The sequence below is a fragment of the Homo sapiens genome, chromosome 10, assembly GCF_000001405.40.
Source record: "Homo sapiens chromosome 10, GRCh38.p14 Primary Assembly".
NCBI lineage: Eukaryota > Metazoa > Chordata > Mammalia > Primates > Hominidae > Homo > Homo sapiens.
Genome location: NC_000010.11, coordinates 88,710,212 through 88,732,385, shown reverse-complemented (window position 1 = coordinate 88,732,385; position 22,174 = coordinate 88,710,212). Strand labels below are relative to the sequence as shown.

Sequence of the window (22,174 nt, the reverse complement as noted above, 5' to 3'; positions counted from 1 at the left end):
TTTTCAGATAATTATTTGTTCATTTTAAGTTGTAGTAAATGTAGCCATATGGAAGAAGAGCCCCTGACATTCTCTGATCACATCTGCCCCAAACACACCTATGGTGGTGCCTTGTGAGTGGCCCACGTAGTAGAGTCGCTTCTGTCCAGTTTTCTCTATGATAAAATTGATTGTGGCTGGAAGGTCATATTTAGCCATCTCATCCAAACTATCAAAAAGAAGGAATAACAAATTAGAAAAGTCATCTCATTGTTAGGCCTAGAACATTTAAACACGTTCAGTGAAGACATAAATACTTTGATTTTGTTAAATATAAGACTAGTGTCGATATATGATATTAGGCAACTATGCAACTTTTAAGGGTGTCACCTTGATTGCAAGTCAACATTTTTAAGAAACTGAAATCAGAAAAATTTGATTTGTCGAGGCCTACTGATGCTTTTCTTGCAAGGCTAGTCGTATTCACTTAATTCTATAACAGATTTACCAAGCTCCTCTGAAAAGAGCAATTACCTGGAATGCTTATCTAAAGGAGAGAATAATAAAGCAAACAGATTTGCAGACCTCAGCCCAGACTGACTGAATCAGAATTTCCTGGGAAGAGACCCAGTAATCTGCATATTTAACAATGACCTCAGTTACTTCTGATCCTATGTATAGTTTAAGAAATACTTACCTAGGGAATTTTCTAGTCATTTGCAAGGGTGCAATGGACTATGGCATAGAATTAGGAAATCCCAGTGGTTTCCAGAAAGAAGGCAGGCAACGAGGCCAAGGAACACAGGATTTTCATGACCTCCAAGGCATGGTTCTTAGCTCCTATGCCAGTGCATCAGTTTGCTCCTGTGACCGGGTAGGCGTGGCTTCTGAAGTAGACAGCACCCTCAGGCGCTGCTGCTGGCAGCACTGTTGCTTAGCTATTCTGTAATCAGGCTTTCTTCTTACTTCCCCCAGAACATACACACACACACTCACTCACACGCAGACACCAGGACGGAGGCAGGAGTTCTAAAACAGCCATGCAATAATAATGGCAGTTCTTTAGAGCCTGTGAAGAAAGTTTGGGTAGAGAAAGAAAGGTTTGTTTCCTTCTTGTGGATTCCATTGGGTGCATTTGGACACAAAACAGGAAAAAAATCACTAGGTGTTCATACATATGCATGAGGAAAGTACACATTTTATTCATTAATAGGTTTCTCTTTACCTGAAGGCCCAGTATTCCGGTGATTTCGGTGACAATTTAAGGTGTTTTCTGGACCAAGTGTTTCCTCGGCTGTTCCCCAACCACACGTCATAACCACTATCTGCCAGAAGGAAAGCCAAACTGTTGTTGGGCAGGTTGCAAATCCAGTTACTGGCAGATGCAATTAAGCCATGCTGCAAATACACAGCAGGCTTTGGAGCTGCAAAACACAGGCAACAAGAATTTCATATTTGAACTTTCTCAGTGTCTACAAGAAAAATCTCATTCCTGAATTTCTGTAGTATAAAAGAAAGGTTAAGAGATAAAATTTGATGCCAGGCAAACCTGGGATCTAGTCCCTTCTGAGCTACTTACTTGGGTAAGTTATTTAAGTTCTCTGTCTTGTTTTCTCATTTGTAAGGGATTATATACAATGTATTGTATTATGTAAGTGTGGAAGTTAGTTTGCCCTAGTTCAAAATCCCTTCGATACGCATGAACTCCTTTGTGCCTCAGTTAACCTATCTGTATAATGGGAAATAATAATAAATGCTATCTCCTAGGGTATTTATAAGAATTCGATGAGAACTAAAACATGTAAAAGGCTGTCTGGTTGCCAGGCGCGGTGGCTCACGCCTATAATCTCAGCACTTTGGGAGCTGAGGCGGGCAGATCACGAGGTCAGGAGATCGAGGCCATCCTGGCTAACACAGTGAAACCCCATCTCTACTAAAAAATACAAAAAAACTAGCCGGGCATGGTGGCGGGCGTTGTAGTCCCAGCTACTCGGGAGGCTGAGGCAGGAAAATGGCGTGAACCCGGGAGGCGGAGCTTGCAGTGAGCCGAGATCGCCACACTGCACTCCAGCCTGGGCGACAGAGCAAGACTCCGTCTCAAAACAAAATAAAACAAAACAAAAAAAAGCTGTCTGGCACAGTAAATATATATTAGCTCTATTACTGTTACTTATATTAATAGCATTATATTTTTCAAGATTCATCTGATTAAAAACTTAAATTTTTTTCAAAATAATAAAAACAATAATTAAAATGCCATTTGTTGAATGCTCATTGAATGTCAAGCACTATGCTAAGTTTTATAGGCACTGCTTCATTTCATTTGAATTGTTAGAAAGCAAAAAACAAGGTTGTAAGTAGAAATTTACAGTTTAAAATTGTTAATATGATACAAAAATCCTATTCCCAATGTAAAATAGGAACATTTCAACTAAAAAAGAGAAAGGAAAAAGAAAGAAGTGAGAAAGTGTGGAAAAAGAGAGAAGAGAGGGAAGAAGTGACTAGACTTTTCCTGTGCTTTATAAGTGGTTTGTGATGCTGTGTTGTTATCTCAGGACTCTACCTCAGGTCACTTTTGGAACTAGAGTGGCTTCCTGAGAGTGAGTAAGTTGTACTCTCAGAGAGCCTTCAGCCATCGGGACCAAGGAACTAAGAGTCTATGTCCATTTTTCCACCATTTGGAATAGAGGGAAAGAAGAGGTGTTACTAACTCTGCCAAAGTTAAGTACCATTAAATAGTCAAGTACCATCAGGCCTCTTTGATCTGAGTCTGAGACAAATCACAGGGATCTCAGATTAGAAAAAGAGTTTCTCATTGTACAGCTTTTTGTCTCATGAATTTTGGCAGCTACGTGATAGAAATGACAAGAGAAAAGTTTGGAGAGACTTAAAAGTTCTCTTGAGTATTTACAAAGTTATTTGTAATTATGGAGTTATTTTGGGAAATAATTGGCTCTGTAAAGCCAGCAACACCATTATATCTTCCTCTCTTTTTAGAAATCTAGAGTTTTTCTTTAAATAAATAGTCTTTCTGATATTGAGAAGTTTTGTTATTCGACATGTCAAAGTATAAAATGAACTAAGAAGAGAGAGAAGAAAGCAAGAGCAAATAGTTTCTGGGAAATGAATTGCTCTTCCCCCGCCCCCCCCCCCCAACAGATAGCCACCTGCATTGCGGGGAGCTAGAATTGGCTCTTTAATGAAGTTTAAGCACAGAACTGATAGGAACTAATAGGGTCTTTTTTGCAGAGATTCCTGAGGATACCTGAGGCTCTGTTTCAGAAAAAAAAAATAGACTTGTTTTTTCAGCTGGAGGCAAGGGCAAGAGGTGTACCCTAGGCAGCAAACTATCCCTGTAGGGTGGGCTGAGAACTAGGGCTGAGCGTCAGATGGGTCTCCAGTTGCCCATGCTCCCCTGCACAGCTGCCTCCCCAGCAGGATGTGGGACAGCCACAGGAAGGGTAAGCTAAGAAGTGCTGCCGTGGACATTCACTTGGGCAGGACATCAGAGGACTCGGATACCAGCTTCCCATTGCAGGGGTCAATCTTCTTCACAACTATGGCCCTGCAGGAGCTGGTGCGGCTGAAAGAGCCGGAGTCCCCGCCACAGTCAAAGCTGGACTGGAAGAAGTCCAGGCCATAGCTGAGGGCAGAGCTTGTGAGGCCGAGCCCAGCCCACCTGGGTAGCCACTGCTTGTCTTCCTATGCATACACCTGCTCTGCGTCCCAGACTCCAGCGGGCTCTCCTCGCCCTCCAGCAGCTTCCTGTAGGTGGCGCTCTCGATGCCCAAGGCCAGCTTGACATTCATCAGCTCCAGGTTCCGGTGAAGCTACGGCGCCCTCTCCTGTTTGGTCCGCTATAGGGCGGCCTCCAGCTCTGCAGGCTCAGCGTTGAGTCCTTAATGGCGGACTCCCCACGCTGCTCTGCGTTCTCTGGCCTTTGAGGCCTTCAGTCTCATGGTGGAGCCGGCTGATGTTTCGGTTCACCTGGAAGATCCTCTTCCTGCGACACAGCTCATTCTCAGCCTTCCCAGCCAAGGCCTGCAGCACCTCATACTCGACCTGGTGGTGCATGCTCTCGGCCTTGGCCCAGCTGCGGCTGGCGATCTCCTGGTACTGGGCGGAGACGTCGAGATGATGCCATCCATGTCCAGGACTCGGCTGTTGTCCAAGGATAGGACCAGAGATGTGGCCGAGATCTGGGACTGCAGCTCACGGATCTTCTCTTCTCCTGGGGCAGCCCTTTTAGGCGAGACTACTTATTCTACGTTGTTCATGTAAGCTTTAACCACATCCTTCTTGATGAGGAAAATTCATTCTCCATCTCTATATGCTTGTTGATCTCATCCTGGTACTTACTCTTGAAGTCCTCCACCAGCCCCTGCATGTTGTCAAGCTCCACCTCCACCTTCAGCTTCTGGTCCCATGTGTCCAGCTGCCGCAGAAAGTTGTTGATGCAGCTCTCCATGTTGTCCACGTTCTCCCAGCTGTCTTCTGCTGCTGCAGGCTCCACATGGTCTCCAGCATCTTGTTCTGCTGCTCCAGGAACCACACTTTGTCAATGAAGGAGGCAAACTTGTTCAGGGTCTTGATCTGCTTCTTCTCCTGGGTGTTCACAGCATGGATGTTGGGATCCACCTCCACTTTTAGGGAGCTCAGCAGACTCTGGGTCACAGTGAAAATTGTGATGCCTCCCATATCACCAGCCCCAGCATAGACCTCACCCAGACCCATGCTGGTGCCCAGGCCACCCAGAAAGCTGCTACCTACCTGGAAGAAGCTTGAGGTTCTGATACAAGCACTGGGTATGCTCCTGTACCAACAGCTGCTGAAGGCGGAGTTCTGGGTCACCCTGATGGACATGGTGGAGGCTGGAGTGAAGGTAGGTAGGCTAAACTAGATGGTGATTTGACAAGCTGAGATGCTGTTGCTAGGTGGGAGCTAATAGGGTAATATTTACTTTAAACCATGAAATCACACAGACTTGGGTCCAGAACTGACTACAAATAGTTTAATACCAGTGAGGAGGCATTGTAGTAGTTGAAGACATTATATCCAAACCTGGATTTGAAAGATTATTGAAGCTGAAAGTTGTCAGATTAGGGAGAAATTTAGAAGGCAAAATTGATAGATGGCGATGATAGGTTGCATGTAGAAGGTGAGGGAGAGTTGGTATCAAGAATAACCCCTAGATTTCTGATTTTCAAAACGGGACAGAGGTATCACTAGGGTAAGAACACGATGTGTTTTTGTGTTTGCTTGGTAGGAAGACAAAGTCATGAAGAAAAGGAGTGACCAGATAAACAGTGTATGTAAAAGTGACTTAAAACTTCAAAGTTACACAAATTAAACAGAGAGATGGGGGGCGATAATTTTTCTCCTTTAATGGAAAGGACTGTTAAGAATTTCAGAACAAAAACTGCTTGACTTCTCCCAGGACATCTAAGTACCTCTGCTTTAAGTATTTTTCCTTTCATAACAAAATAAATAATACCTGTCCTCCCTGGGCATCCTCTTCCATGTGGAATCCTATAAATTCCAAGGATATAACCATCTTTTGTTGTAACATCATACTCTTCATAAGGATAACCCCAGTAAGAAATAATCTGGCTCTAAAAAGAGGAAAGGAAATATATACCTTCATGTTATAATCTCTTAATTTTTACACATGAATTACAACATAGTACTTTATTTGTCTGTTTGTTTGTTTGTTTGAGACGGGTCTCACTGTGTTCCCTGGGCTGGAGTGCAGTGGTGTGATCTTGGCTCACTGCAGCCTTCGCCTCCTCGGCTCAAGCTATCCTCCCACCTCAGTCTTCCAAGTAGCTGGAACTAAAGGCACCTGTCCCAATGGCCAGCTACATTTTTTGTATGTTTTTGTAGAGATGGGGTTTCACCATGTTGCCCAGGCTGGTCTTAAACTCCTCAGCTCAAGGCATTCGTTCCCCTGCCTTAGCCTCCCAAAGTGCTAGGATTATAGGTGTGAGCCTCCCTGCCTGGCCACAATGTAGTACTTTAAATTGCACCTACTGTTTATCACTCTATGTGCCGTGACGGCATGTAATATTCCTATGAGGATAATTTAAGAGGGATTTCTAGGAGTTACATAAAGAGGCATAGGTAAGTCTGGGTGGGGTGACCCTACATTCTTGTTTGCTCAGGACACTCTGGTTTTGCCTGCTGGCCTGGTATTATTAAAGCACCCTAGTTTGCTTTGATGAAAATTATATGGTCATCTAATGAGGGAAACCACAGGGAATTGTGGAGTACCCTGTGGCTAATAACAAGTGATCTATTACCAAACAGACTTGAAAGAAGAGGGGAGGAAGCAGTTACTGGAAGCCCGAAGGAGAAAGTTAAGCTGAGATAACCAAATTGAGGAAGACAGCTTGTCTAAGTTGACTTCACAGGGAGGAAGCCAGGGCAATAAAAAATGAAACCTTACTGGCCTATTTCTTTCCATCTCCTGCTCACCATTTCCATTGGCTGAATTGAACTGAAAACCAAAAGTCAAGGGAGCTTGTTGACCTGTCCTTACAGTTCAGCCTCTTGGGCAGAGAGAAAGGTGTTAAAGAACAGAGAGTGAGCCTAGAGGGGTCAGAAAAGATACCCCACCTGCAGATATACAAAGAAGAGGGGAATTAGTGATTACTGGTATCTTCTGCGTAGAGGTTTACATTCCTTTTCTCATTAAACTTATAAGAGGCCTTTGAGATGGAATTGTACCATTTACAGTTGAGAGAACTTATGTTCAGGTAGATTAACAATTTATCCAAGATTATATACCAGGAAGAGATAAAAAGATTAATGCTAAAGTAAGTTTAACTCCAAAGCTTATGCCTTAATCAAAGGATTATGCATTTTCCCAAGTCAGACACAGAGATGCATGTATAAATTGTGGGCTACACAGAGCAATGGTGAAGAGCCCAGGCTCTGGAGACAGACTGTGACATTGTGAGGATTATATGTAATATGTGTAGAATAATGCCTAACATAAATGCTTTATAGATGATTGTTCTTATCATTATAGAAGGATTAAAAGCTAAAAATCCCTCATGCTAGAGAGAGAAAAATTATGTGAGTTCAACAGTTTGGTAGGAGATCAAGGGTACTTGCTGGATACTTTGGAGAGAGGAACAAGAAGAGATACTAATGAAAAAAAACTTTGGCAGTTTCGTTCTTTTTATGGTTCTGATACAACTTGCGTATGGTACAGGACAGCAATTGTGCGCCGTTTATATAGGAGAATGGAGTATATTATCTGAATGAATTCTGTAGTAGATATTTGTCATTTGGCCTTTTTTTCTTTGCCTAACACTATTCCATTCCACTTCTGATATGAATTCCTGAATGTTAAAATACTTTGGTAATAAACAACAGAAACCAACACTGGCTTATGAAACCAAAAAAGCATATTGGGATAGCTCACAAAATCAAAGAAACTGCTCTATCAAAAATCTCGGGGAAAACTCAAAGGTACTCTATAGAGATCATCTGTATTAAGTCATGAAACTTCTCTTTAGGAAGCCACCACTGGATGGTAGTTCAAACCACCAGGAGATGGACTATTACTGCCCCAACTTGGGTCAGATCTTTTAATTCTTGGATTAGTTAGCCATATCAAGAAACAGGAGAGGAAGCACAGACTTAGTCACTGGAGGAATTGCTGAAAACTAAGAAGGCACACCAGTTGTATCTAAAATGCTGAAATATGAATAATTCCTTATTTTAGCATTTTTTTCTGAATAAATGACTTACAATATTCATATTAGCTTCAGGGTTTGCATTGTTTCCTTTCTTGTCATAACCATACATAGATCCAAGAAGAAGCATCCAGCATGCTGCTGCTAAAAGCTGCCACATTTGGGATCTGCCTAGGAAAGGAAATTTAATATATTTGTCATCAAAGATAAATTCTACGAAGTGAAATTTGGTGTAATCTTTTTATAACACTGCTATGAGAGAGAGCAGAAACATACTTCTAGGCTGTGCTTTAACCAGTAGAATACTGAATTATACAACATTCATTCCATGAAAAATCTAAAATGACTTTTTAGTAAGAAAAGAAAAGGCACAAGGAAAGAAGAAAAGAGGGAATGAATGGAAAGGAACAGAGAAACCAATCAATCAAGTTTCCAGTAGATAACTGGACAAAAGAGGGAATAGATAATGTGTAGAAAAGAAATATAATGGCCAATAAATTAATCAAAGCACATTTGGTATCTCTAGTTACTAGATTGGTTGGTACTTTTTTCTGATGGTAGAGTTAATCATTGGCAAAACCTTTATGAAAAAAATTTGTTAACATGTCTTGTAAATTTAAAAGTATTCATAACCTTCACTCAGTAATTTTGTTTTCAGGAATCTATCTAAAAGAAAAATGACGTGTATATAAACACTGGGTATAAAATTATTTCTTATTATATATCTTAAGACAGTAAAATTTCCCAAAGTAAGAGACTGTTGACCTAAATTATGGGTGAGAAAAAATGGAATTATTCAGTCATCAAATATTATGCTTATGTGTGATATGTGAAAATTCCTACTACATAATACGTAGGGAAAAACAGACTTCAAATTGTGCATATATTTTGAGTTCAATGATGACACAAACCATAATAGAAAAAAAAAACCTAAACATCAAATTTTAATTATAGTTATATCTAGATGGTGAATATTTGGATGATTATTTTCTCATTTTTAAAGTGTTTTTCACACTTTCTAAATTTTCTATATCCAGTATTACTTTATCATAGGAAAAACATTATTATTTAAACTTTTTTTAAAATTGTGAACATTGTGGAGAGAAAAAGATTATGAGTATTTCTCATTTGTCTTTGAAACTACTTAAGTTTAAAGCAAAGAACAACTTTGCAAAAACAACCAAGGGGAACATTTTTCAAGAGGGCTTCCTTTTACAGTTACTTATAAAATACAGATCTTCAAATTATGTTAGAAAATACACCCTCCCTGCTAATCTGTTTTGCTATTGTATAGTAATATAATATATTGACATATAAATTAATACAGGTTAATATAGCTTGATTCTGGTGCAACTCTATGGCAGCAATAATAATATCACCTTCAGAAGCAATAATTATTATTGCTGTCATAACTGCTCTTATAACTATGTATTGAGCACCTATTATGTACCAAATAATGTGCCGGACATATATGATTTTATTTTATTCTCAAAATAATTCTAAAGGGTAGGAAATATTGGGCTGGGCATGATGGCTCATGCCTGTAATCCCAGCACTTTGGAAGGCTGAGACGGGCTGATCACTTCAGTCCAGGAGTACGAGACCAGCCTGGGCAACACGGAAAACCCTGTTTCTAAAACAAATACAAAAAATTAGCCAGCCATGGTGGCATGCACCTGTAGTCCCAGCTACTCATGGGGCTGAGGTGAGAGGATCACCTGGGCCCAGGAGTTTGAGACTCCAGTGAGCTGTAATAGCACCACCACTGAACGCCAGCCTCGGTGACAGAGTGAAACCCTGTCAAAAAAAAAAAAGAAAAAAGAAAAGAAGAAAAACAATTTAAAAAAGGATGGGAAATATTGTCCTCATTTTATTTAAAATAAAACTGGGTCTTACAAAGTCAAGTAATTTGCCCAACATCAAACAGATGGTCATGGAGGCAGAATCTGAACTCAGGTTGCCTGACTCTAGGAAATGCAAATGAAGACTGTGCTCTTAACCACTCCGTCCATTCAGACTAGTTTTACAGGGGCCCTCTGGCTTCTGTGTGTCTAATTAGTGTTTTTCTAAGTATGGCCCATAGACCACAGGCATCATAATCACCATGAAAAACACTGAAGACTCTTAGACATCACACTGAAAACCCTTAGACCTCACCACCGCCTAGCTGAAGGAGAATCTATTGAGGGGGCTTGGCCCAGCAATCTGCATTTTAAACCATCATTACAAGTGGTTCATATGCATTCTAAAGTTTAAAAAACAGCCAGACTGGTTGGATTCTTTCAGAAGATAAACTACTTCATTCTTGTTTCTGTTTATCTGAGACCTAGCATGCAGGTTTTTATAAATGCCAATAAAATGGATGGATGAAGGAGTACATGAATATGTTATTTAATCTTTTTTTTCCTGAGACGGAGTTTTGCTCTTGTTGCCCAGGCTGGAGTATAATGGTGCGACCCCGGCTCACTGCAACATCTGTCTTCTGGGTTCAAGGGATTCTCTTGCCCCAGCCCCCGGAATAGCTGGGATTACAGGCGCGTGCCGCCACACCTAATTTTTTGTAGTTTTAGTAGAGACGGGGTTTCACCATTTTGGTCAGGCTGGTCTCGAACTCCTGACTCCTGCTGATCCACCCACCTTGGCCTCCCAAAGTGCTGGGATTACAGGAGTGAGCCACCGCACCTGGCCATGTTATTTAATCTTAATGACTATGCCAAATTGACTCACTATTTTATATTACATATTGCTTCACTGGTTTGATTTTATTCCACTTCATCATTCCTCACTGAGAGTAAGCTTCGAATGTTGATCAGGTCCTTACCTCAGGATTATATTTTATGGCAAAGTAGTAGGGAAATGTGTAAAAATTGGTCTTCTCTCTCAAGGCTTTGACAGTTAACATGGTCTCATTTCTGCTGAGTGGCTGGCGTTTTGAGGCCTCTGAATCAAAATCACCAGTAAGTAAACCTGGGGTCCTTGTGTTGGAGCAGATCCAGCTCTCTTCTGAAATGGCTAATCCTGTCGGTGTTGTAATGTTGCAGGGGAAGAGGGCTGTGAGCTAGCACAATGTGCTGCTTATAGGAAGAGCTGGGAGCCAGCCCCAAGGGATGGCACAAGGATATACTAGCCATGACAGATTGCCTTTTGTAACCATGACATACAGCCCATCAGCTGCCTTTGTTTTGTTCCCCTGTGTTATATGGATCTGGATATAGAAGGATGACACACCGCAGCAAGAGGAGTCTATACGTGTTCCATTTAGGAAGGAGTGTCAAGTCCAATCTAAACAGCCTGTCTTCCAGCACCTCTTACAAGGGATGTTCTTACCTGCTTTGCCTATCCAAGCTTTATAGCATTAACTATAATTGTTGGGTAAGGGTGCTTGATTCAGGAACCTCTCTTAATAATACTCTGAGTTTTTTTATTTCTTTGACCTGTTTCTGTGACAGCTCCCTGATGAATATTGCCTTCTCATGTGTCCCACATCGACATTCTGCTGGTTCATATATCCTTATATTCTATATAATATCATATATCCTTATATCCTGTTTCATATATCCTTATATGCTAATGCATATAAGGATATTAGACTAAGAAATATAAAGATATTAGACTAATAAATATAAGGATATTAGACTAAGGATATGCTAATGCATATAAGGATTTTAGACTAAGAAAAAAGCAGACATGATAAATTCAGGGGATTCTCAGTTTTTAAAGATGTGACCCTTGGTTGCAAGTACTCAGATTAAATCACAATAGATTATATTTATTGTATATTTTATTATAGATATAATCTATAATAGATTTTATTGATTTATCACTGTAAATCAGCTTTTCACATTGCCATCCTACAAAACATGACTCCCATAAAATGCTATTTGTATAAAGAGGCCATGGGCAAATATATGTTCAACTATATATGTATGTGTACATATTATATATATGACTTCCTTGGAGACTTATAGACTGTGTGTGTGTGTGTGTGCATAAAACTTGCTTGGATATTCAGACTACACACACACATACACACACATGTATCTGGATACACTTATATAAATGCTATAAACATCACTTATTTGGAGAGCCTTAGTTTATAATTAAGGTTCACTATAGTCCTGCAGTCAAGACTCTATTTAACTTTATTTAACCTACTTTTCTGCCGTCTTTTTTAAAAATTTTATTTTGGATTCAGGGGTAGATGTGCAGGTTTGTTATATACGTAAACTTGTGTCATGGAGGTTGGTTGCACAGAGTATTTCGTTGCCCAGGTACTAAACCTAGTACCAAATAGTTACTTTTTCTGATCCTCTTCCTCCTCCTACCCTCCACCCTCAAGTAGGCCCCAGTGTCTGTCATTCCCCTCTTTGTGTCCATGAATTATTAAATGCTGATTTAATATTTCTTTCTCTATTTACTATACCAAAAAAATCTATATAATGAAGGAAAGGCTAAAATAAGTGGGCAAAAATTGGAAATGTCTCTTTCAAAAGTTTCTTCAGGCAGATGCTCTACATGACAGTGGAGACAGCTGCTACTTTTACTCAAATTTGGTTGGAAAAAGGTACATTACTTGCAAGACCCTCTTCCCATGCTCAAAATCTCCCTTTCTCCAATAGTTGCTTTTTGTCCGCTCCCTGCCCCCAACCCCTCTAGCTACTGCAGTCAGTAGGAAATATGAGACTTTCAAGAGAATATTGCCTTGATGCATGTTTGATTTTATACTGGGTTTACATATTGTATATCAAATGCATGTGGATTATATGTAGGCAGCTCTCATAAGTAATGCATTTTGCACTGACAAATACATTGATGGTGAAATCAAGGATAGCAATTTCTCAACAAAAGAATATCAGAAGTAATAGAGACCTTAATTCCATTTTTCTCATTGCCCAATAATAGGAACTATCAGGCTCATCAAGCAAACACTTAATAACAACTTATGGCAATGCTTGGAGAGCATTCTTAACCAGTCCCCACCCTAATTCTTCACTGTATTCGTAAATGGAGGTGAGAATTGGCCAGAGTGTGCAGGTACAAAGACCCCACAGAAAACTCTAAGCTCTAAGTTTGGAAAACTCTTAAGTTTAAAAAATGCAAAGGGGTCAGTTTCTACAGAAGAATTTCAGTTTGATCAATGGTAAAATAAAGCTAATGATGAATCCCTGAATGCTTTGTGGAGAATTCTGAGTTAAAATTCTAACTCTGTCCTTCAGAAGATATGGCAGCCATGAGAATGCAGCTGTCAGAGCTTCAACTGCAGGGAGCAAAACTGGCTATGAGCCACAGCTCCTGTGTCTCAACTCCATCACTAGCTTCCCAGTGAAGCCGCACATTGTAGACACTTCCTAACTATTGACTATTACTGTTTTTATTATTAGTTGTGTGATTGCTAGGCAATTAAACTTCTCTGAAACTTAATTTTCTTATCTGTATGGTGAGGATAATAACACCTACGTGTAGGGTTGGCTTAAGATGATAAAGATGTGATAAATAAGATGATAAATAATGTCTATAAAACATCTAACAATGCTTGACTCTCAGTAAATGGTAGCTCTTGTTATACCATGTCTTCTACTTCTGTGATTATTTCAGATGTATGTCTTGGTTCTTCAACTAGTTCATAAGCTTCTTAAGGACAAGAACCACATATTATACTTTATATTATAAATACAAATACTTCGTATTTATAACTTTTTAAATCTTCTGTGTCTCTAGTTTTGCTCATACTGAATATGGCACAATTATTTCAATTGACTTATGAAAAATAACAACATATTTTGTACCAACACTTCTCAAATAGAATAAGAGCAGCCAAGAATTTCTGTTTACTTATTAATTCTATTAATAATATTCATTTTTCACTGTATAGAGTACTTTACCTATTTAATCTATAATTTATATACCATGGACTGAGCATCTATATGCTTAATCATTATAATCATTATTTTTCCATCGCTAGCAAACGTAAATGTCAATTTAGAATTTGAACAATATCTGTTTTACTCAATTTCTTTTCACTGGGTCTTACTACCCCTTATGAAGATAGTTTGGGAACAGTGTAACTCATTGGAAGATTACAAGAGAGGAACAATTTTGTCTTAACAAATTTGAGTATAAAATTCTTATGAGTGACAAAGTAAAAAATAGGATAGGGCCCAGAAAAATGAAAATAGAAAATTTCTTGTATATGCAGGTTACCTGGTAAACAAATAAAAGACACAAAACAAAGCTGATGTCAACATGCACAATAAAATGTAAGCAAAATGTATGACATTCTCACAGCCCAAGGAAGACATGACAAATGGGATAAAAATTTATATATATAATATATAATTTTCTAAAGTATATATATAAAATTTTCATCCTATATTATACTTGGCTTCCTTCTATATATATAGATCTATATATATAAAATTTCCTAAATAATATGTATGTATATATATAGAAGGAAGCCAAGTATAATATTAGTGAAAGACATGAAACCATATCTTGCCTGTCATCAGTTATGGCATACATTTTTTGTTTCATCTTTTCTTGATTAGTGAGCTAAGAAAGATATGGAAAAGAAATGTGGGAATGTAGAATGCATGGGAGGAAGAAAGCAATTATATAACAGATCATTATTTGGACAAAAGGATAAAAGGTCCATATTTATAATGAATCGATATTACCTATATGATCTTAAGAAGGCTAAACAAAAAACTGAAAGAGCCTCTTTCCTGCCCCAAGAGAGAGACAGAAAATGAGAAAAGTTAAAGAAAGGAGCCAGGAAGGCAAAGAAAAAGAGAGTGGGGAAGAAATAAATCAGAAAAAAAAAAACATTAAATAATACAAGTTTAGGCAACCTGAGTGATGTTTTTTCACTTCTTATCTTAATAAGCTATGTTTGAGCAATTTTTACATGTTCAGTTGTTGGTAAACAATGGAATGGCTGGTCTTGAGTAATATATTTCTATATATTTCCAGATGAGATATTAGCAGGAATTTTATGGCAATTGTGCATTCAGCTTATTTTTGTCTGTAGATCAGATGGTACATCATTATTTCCCAACTGTGTGCTGAGGAGGAAAAGTTTATTATCCTCTTCTCTATCACAATGCACAATTAGGAGAGTTACTGGGAGTTAATGAAAGAATTCTAGAAAAAGAGTCCGAAAAACAGAAGACCTATAGTGTGGGCCTTTCTTTTCCTATCTGGGAAAACACGTGGACCTTAAAAATGCCTATGCCACCTTCCTCATGAGGTTGTTGCAAAGTTCCAAAGAAATAATGCTAAAGACAGCATAACTAAATCATAAAAAAATAGAAAATACCGGAATATAAGGCAGGATGCATCTTCTTTACAGAAAAACCCAAGAGTAGAAGGTGAATATCTTCTGCTATGTTTCTAAAATAACTCAAGCAAAGTTAAGGACCAAGACGAACCTTTCCTTTACAATCATTTGAATGAAAAGATCTAGAAGGGAGCAGAGAGACATTCCAAAGGAATCTGGTATTCACAACCAGGTATTTAGCAGATGGTTTGAGAGCTCATCCCTATGTTTACTATTTAAATGAACTGGATGACAAAACAGACAAATCCTGGAATCAAACATGTGGGATCTCTCCTGCTGTCTCCTAGTCACCCATCCGCTTCTTCATCTCTGGTGTTCTGACTCCCAGCTCCACCCTTTGCTAGCTACATGCACTGGTCTCTTTCCCCATTCTCCTTGATCCAACAGCATCTTATCATCTGTCTGCTGCTCACTCTTTCTTTCTCCCCAAACTCATTCTCTCAAGTATCTCTCACTAATCACATACTTTCATATATTCCCTAGGTGAGAAAAAAAAATCCAAATCCATACATCCCACATGTGAACCTCTAATTCCATATTCCCTCAAGCCTTCAGGATACTTCCACTTTGATTTCTTTTTGCAGTCTTTAATCCAGTATCCCCTCAAATAGAATTATTCTCTTTTTCTTTTTCAATTCCTCTTTTATTTCAATTCCAGAATCTGTATCCTCCCAATCTTGAAAGCTGGAAACTGAAATTTTCCTATATTCTGGCCAGGCTCAGTGGCTCATGCCTGTAATCCCAGCACTTTGGGAGGCCGAGGCGTGTGGATCACCTGAGGCCAGGAGTTCCAGACCAGCCTGGCTAACATGGTGAAATCTGTCTCTACTGAAAATACAAAAATTAGCCAGTTGTGGTGGCACACGCCTGTAGTCCCAGCTACTCGGGAGGCTGAGGCAGGAGAATCACTTGAACCCGAGAGGCAGAGGTTGCAGTGAACCGAGATCGGGCCACTGCACTCCCACCTGAATGACAGAATGAGACTCTGTCTCAAAAAAAAAAAAAAAAAAAGAAATTTTCCTGAATTCTCTGATTTCCTCAAACTCTATTGCCAATCTCTTAATAAATAGTGATATTCTTTCAAATATTTTCAAACTCCTTTTCAAAACTTTGCTCAATTATCTCTTTTCTCTGTCATTCTTTTTAAAAAGTTTTCAATTATTACTATTACCTATCTAGTCTAGTATCTAATTCCTAATATCTTATATCATTATACTGGTCTCCTGCCTGGTTTTTCATTTTTGAGTCTTTATGAGTCGAATCGTTATGTATGTTGCCAAAAGATTAATTTTTACAAAATCATTTTATCATATTAAATATCCATTTGAGAAACCATAATGAAAAACTTCCACTTCCAAATATGGTGGTGTAACTCATACAAGACTAGTTCTCTCACTAGATCAAATATACAAGTCAATTGTTTTCAGTCATCAGATAATAGGGTACAAATTTGCAATCTTGAGGTAGGCATATTTTAAAAACTCAATAGAGGAATCATGACAGAATGCTAATATTTTATTATCCTAGAATAAGGCAGAAAACAGGCAAGGAAGGAAGGAAAGCAGGAAGGAAGGAAGGAGAAAGAAAGAGAGAGAGAAAGAAAGGAAAGAAAGAAAGAAAGAGAAACAGAAAGAAAGAAAAAAGAAAGAAAAGGAAGAAAGAGGACAAGTGGAAAACAAATAGTGAAAGATCAGAATGGCAGATTTAAACAAAACTGTACCAAAAATTACATTAAATGCTAATACAGAAAATACTCTAAAAAAAGGCAAATATTGTCAGACTATAATATGTATAAAAAAAGCGGGGCCCAACTATGTACTTTCAACAAAAGCACACTTTAAATGTAAAGGAAAATGGGTTGAAAGTAAAAGAAATAAATATATCATACAAGCAGTAAGAATAAGAAAGCTGTCAAATTTATAACAGACAAAGTAGGCTTCAAGACAATGAACATTATCAGAGTCAAAGTGAGATATTTCATAATGTTAATTCATCTAGAAGACAAAAGTCAATTCATCAGGAAGATAAAACAACCCTAAATATGTAGGCATCCAATAATAGAACTTCAGAATATGAGAAGATCAAACTGATAGAGATACAGGTAATTATTCAGTTTCATAGCTGTATGTTTCAACATATCTCTTTCAATAATTGGCAGAAAAATTAGACAGAAATAATATAGAAATATAGAAAACCTGAACAGCACTATTAACCAATTTGTTATAATTGACATTTGCAGAACATGCCTAAAGAACCCATAGAAACTGAAGCAATAAAAATGGAAAATAGAAGATATTTGCAACTAAATGATAATAAAACATGACATATCAAAATTTGACATACAGCCAAAGTACTGCTTAGAAATAAATTTAGTGATTTAACTGCCAGTGTTAGAAAAAAGTTTATAATCAATTATCTGAGTTTCTACCATAAAAAGTTAGAAAAAGAGAATCAAATTAATATCAAAGTAGTATGAGGAGAGGAATAATAAAGAGGAAATAATAAAATAAATAAACATATTAGAGAAAATTAATAAAGCCAAAAGTTGGTCCTTGGAAAAAATTAATAAAAATCAAGTAACCCTAACAAAACTAATCAAGGAAAAATAGAGCTACAATATGTGCCAATATCAGAAATAAAATAGTACATATCATTAACAATACAAACAATAAAATAAGAGAATATTCTGAAAACTGCAAATAAATTTGATAAATTATATTAACTAGACAAATTCCTTGAAAAACACAACTTAAAAAACCATTTCCAGAAGAAAAAGAACATTTCTATATCTACTTTAAAAGTTGAATTTGTTTTATAAAATATTTCCACGTGCATGGACAAAAATTACAGATCCACATAGTTTCATTGGTGAGCATCCTATCTAATATGCGGAAGAAATTATTACACTCATCGACGATTTTACAGAGTTATAACACTGAAGTTGTTCATGTGTCCCTGAAGTTGTTAGCATACAACCCTTCTTGACAAACTATTCTTAGTGTTCTGATGGATAAATTGGAGCCAAGGTTATTAGAATAATATGGAAATTAATCAAAGGAGCAAATAGTTTAAAATGATCAGTTTTAAAATTGGGAAGTACGTTTGACAAAACTCAACACCACTTTATAATAAAAAATTTTTAGGAAAATAGAAATGAAAAGGAACTCAATCAGATGAAGGAATTCTATAAAATATCCTCCAGGTACAATTATAATTAATGCTAACATATTGAATACTTTCACCTTAAGAATGAAACAAGAGAAAGCATGTCTTTCTTATCACCTCCATTTACCGTGATACTGGAGGTGCTATTAAATAAAATAAATCGAAAGAGAAAACAACAACAACAACAAAGATGGGAAAGTAGAAACAACACTAAATTTATTTTATTTTATTTTATTTTTATTTTTATTTTTTTGAGACAGAGTCTTGCTCTGACACCCAGGCTGGAGTGCAATGGCATGGTCTTGGCTCACTGCAACCTCTGCAGTGAGCCTCTCCTGGGTTCAAGTGATTCTCCTGCCTCTGCCCTGCAAGTAGCTGGGATTACAGGTGCCCACCACTGCGCCTGGCTAATTTTTGTATTTTTAGTAGAGATGGGGTTTCACCATGTTGGCCAGGCTGGTTTCAAACACCTGACCTCAGGTAATCCGCCCACCTCGGCCTCCCAAAGTGCTGGGATTACAGGTGTGAGCCACCACGCCCAGCCTAAATTTATTTTTACATGGTGTGGTGATGCACATAGAAAATCCTAACTAGTCTACACAAAACCCACTATATCTAATAGATGAATACAGAGAAAAGTATTAAGATACAAAGCTAATATTTAAAAAGCAATTGTTTTTTCTTATGCTGATAAAGTAGATAGTTCATAAAACTATGCTTCTTTCAGAACTGTATTTTCTTGCTTTGAAAGTTTATCCCTCTTTTTTTCTAGTCGCCAGAAATAAAAACACTGTTATGGTAATACAACAAAAAATCAAAATGCAATTAGGACAATAACAGCTATAATTTTTGGTATCTATCACATATAATAACAATTGGAAATAACTATATGGCGTTGACTTTAAAAAGTGATTTATAAGAATTAAGTTACAAACAACTCTATTGGTAGGTGCTACTATTATTATCTCTATTATCCTCTTTTTGTTGGTTTGTTGTACAGAAAGTGGAACTCATGCAAAGAGAGGGTAAGTAGGTTAGCTAAATTCACATAGCTAGAAATTGCTATAGCGATATTTGTATCTGATTGGTTTGATCCCAGAGTCTACAGATGTAACCACCTCTCTATACTGTGTCTCCTGTGTGATGATGGAGTATCCCATGTATTTCATTTCTTTAAATGACTACCAGGATGCATACATTTCATGAAATTCCAGTAACCTATAGCTAATATAGAGTTACAGGCTGAAAATCTTATTCAAAAGAAGTTGGTCATCTTTTCTTTCAGTTTCCTTATATCTGACCCTCTGGTTAAAAACAAAATAAAACTCTTTATTCAAGAGAAAGAAATTATGGACTATTGCAATGCACTATTTCAAAGCTTTCTCTTTCTCTCTCTTCTTCCCATGGTAACAGTAAGAATCACACTAGCATTTTCATTTTAAATAGGACTGTTCTCTGAAGAAAATAAGCAGAAAAGTAAATGGAAACAGTACAGATACATCAGCTCAGATAAATCCCTGCAAAAGCTATAATTAGGCTAAGCTGATGTATGTGTTAATGAGAAGTGGCTCAGATGATTCAGAGTATGGAGCCTGGAATTAATAAAAAAAAACATTATCTGGAACAAGGATATGACTTTCACAAAGAATATGGGAGGGAGCAGTACTATATTTACAATAGACACCTTATCTGTTCAGCATGTATGAGAATTTAGGCCATTAACAGGTAAATGTTAGGTCCACATTATGGTAGGTCCACAGTATGGATTTGCTGAATAAGTGCATGAATAGTAAGTAGGTAAATGAAGCTTACTTGCATTGTTACCAGTCATTTTTATTGTTGCTGTCATAGCTAGTTTTAGTTCTTTTTAGCTAAAAAAATTACTGAAACATTGTAAAATTTTATCTATTAAAAAGTGGTAAAATATGATTTCAACTGAGAGAGTTCAGAGTCATCATTGCACTACACTTGCTATGCTAACAAAAATCAAAATAATGAGAAATACATTGAGCAGAAGATCTGTAAAATCTTTACACTGAAAATTACAAAACAAATCCAAATACATAGAGAGATATACTTTGTTTATACATCAACAGACTCAACAGATTAAATTATATGTTGTTTAATAACTTTTGACATAGGTTTCAATGTATTTCAATGAGAAAGTATTTTCAACAATTATTCCTGCAGGAACAATTGGAAATCAATTTTGAAAAAAGTAACCTTGATACATTTCCCAAACCAGATACAAAAATATACCTCAGATTGCAAATCTAAAACTAAAAGCTTAAGTACAAAGTTGTTAGAAGATAACAAAGAATAATATCTTTACACGTTTGGGGTAGACAACTAACCATAAGCAAAAAAAAGATTAAAAAATTATTAAAATAAAAAACTTCTGTTCTTCAAAAACATCATCAAAAAAATAGGCCGGACACAGTGGCTCACGCTTGTAATCCCAGTACTTTGGGAAGCCAAGGCAGGTGGATCACTTGAGGCCAGGAGCTCAAGACCCACCTGGCCAACATGGTAAAACCCCATCTCTACTAAAAATTCAAAAATTAACCAGGCATGTTGGTGCATGCTTGTAATCCCAGCTACTCATAGGAGGCTGAGATATGATAATCACTTGAACCCAGGAGGTGGAGGTTGCAGTGAGCCGAGATTGTGCCACTGCACTCCAGCCTGGGTGATAGAGTGAGACTGTCTCAAAAAGCAAAGGAAAAGAGAAGAAACAAAACAGCTAATGTACAACTTGAGGGCTATAGTTTATTGTATTGTACTTGGAATTTTGGCTAAAAGAGTACATTTTAAGCGCTCTTGCCACGCACACAAAGGGTAACTAGGTAAGATTATTGATACGTTAATTTGTTTGACTATAGTAACCATTTCACTACATATATATATAGCAAAACATCACGTTATTCACATTAAAATATATGCAATAATAAAATAAAAAGACAATTCACAGACAAAAGGAAAATATTTGCAACAGATATTTGATAAAGGACTCTAGGAAATTTCAAGAACTCCAGAAATAAATAACAACAAAAAAATTAAATTTAAAAAATGGACAAAATACTTGGACAGACAGTAAACAAAAGAGAATAGATGGAAGGTCAATAAACACAAGAAAAGATGTTCAACATTGTTAGTCATCAGAAAGAAATGCAAAGTTAAACCCTAGAGAGATACTACTGCATACTCACTAGACTAGCTAACATCAACTGCACCAAATGTTGGGGAAGATGAGGAGCTACTGGACCTTTCCATATATTGATGATGGGATATATATTTATAGTTTATAATATCACAGTGACTCTCAGAAACTCTAACAGTTTCTGAAAATCCTGTGAGATAGCAATTCTGCCTTTAGGTAGTTGCTTAAAATAAAAGAAAATATTGGTTTGCAAGATTGTTCGCTGAAGATTTATTCACAAATAGCAAATTATTGAAAATAATACAAATGTCCATTAGTAGTAGAATGGACACATAATCATGTTATATTTATGTAATGGAATGCTTACTACTCATCGACACATTCAACAGCCTGGATAAATATCACAAACGTTATGCCGAATGAAAAAAGCGCAAAGGAGTGCATACTCTGCGGTTGAATTTCTGTAAAGGTCAAAAACAGATAAAACTAATTCATAGGAATAGAAATCACAATAGTGTTTGCTTGGTTCTAGGGCAAATTTTGACTGGGGTAATTGCTAAGATTCATCAAACTGTACAATTCAGATCTGTGCATTTTACTGAATGTAATTATACCACAATTAAAAGGAAACTGGAAACTGTTGCAAAGCAGGTGTTTTCAACATTTACTAGTGCTGGTGTAAACTAGTAAAACTTATTTGACATATTGCTGTAATTACTAGGAATTTTAAAGAACATCCACATTTTATATCCCAGTAGTTCCACTCAATAAATACATGCTAAAAAGATAAATTCTCAACTTGGAGAGGGATCTTTTTGTACAAGATTGCTT

General features: G+C 37.3%; 1 protein-coding gene and 1 pseudogene across 11 annotated transcripts in view; both read right to left on the bottom strand.

Annotated features, from left to right (window-relative positions):
• LIPK (lipase family member K) overlaps window positions 1–22,174 on the bottom strand; it is a 46,528-nt gene that overhangs the window by 20,391 nt on the left and 3,963 nt on the right. For 6 of the 11 annotated variants that reach the window (XR_001747183.3, XR_001747184.3, XM_011540073.4 and 3 more), the window contains exons 2-5: window positions 7,738–7,849; window positions 5,474–5,591; window positions 1,205–1,403; window positions 99–208 (exon numbers count right to left, since the gene is read on the bottom strand). Coding sequence is in view for 9 of the 11 variants with exons in the window: in XM_011540073.4 (XP_011538375.1) it covers window positions 99–208; window positions 1,205–1,403; window positions 5,474–5,591; window positions 7,738–7,849 (539 nt within the window). In the remaining 2 variants the exon portion in view is untranslated. The other 5 variants (XM_011540075.2, NM_001080518.2, NM_001378091.1 and 2 more) reach the window with 4 other exon arrangements.
• Window positions 3,274–4,815, bottom strand: KRT8P38 (keratin 8 pseudogene 38; annotated as a pseudogene).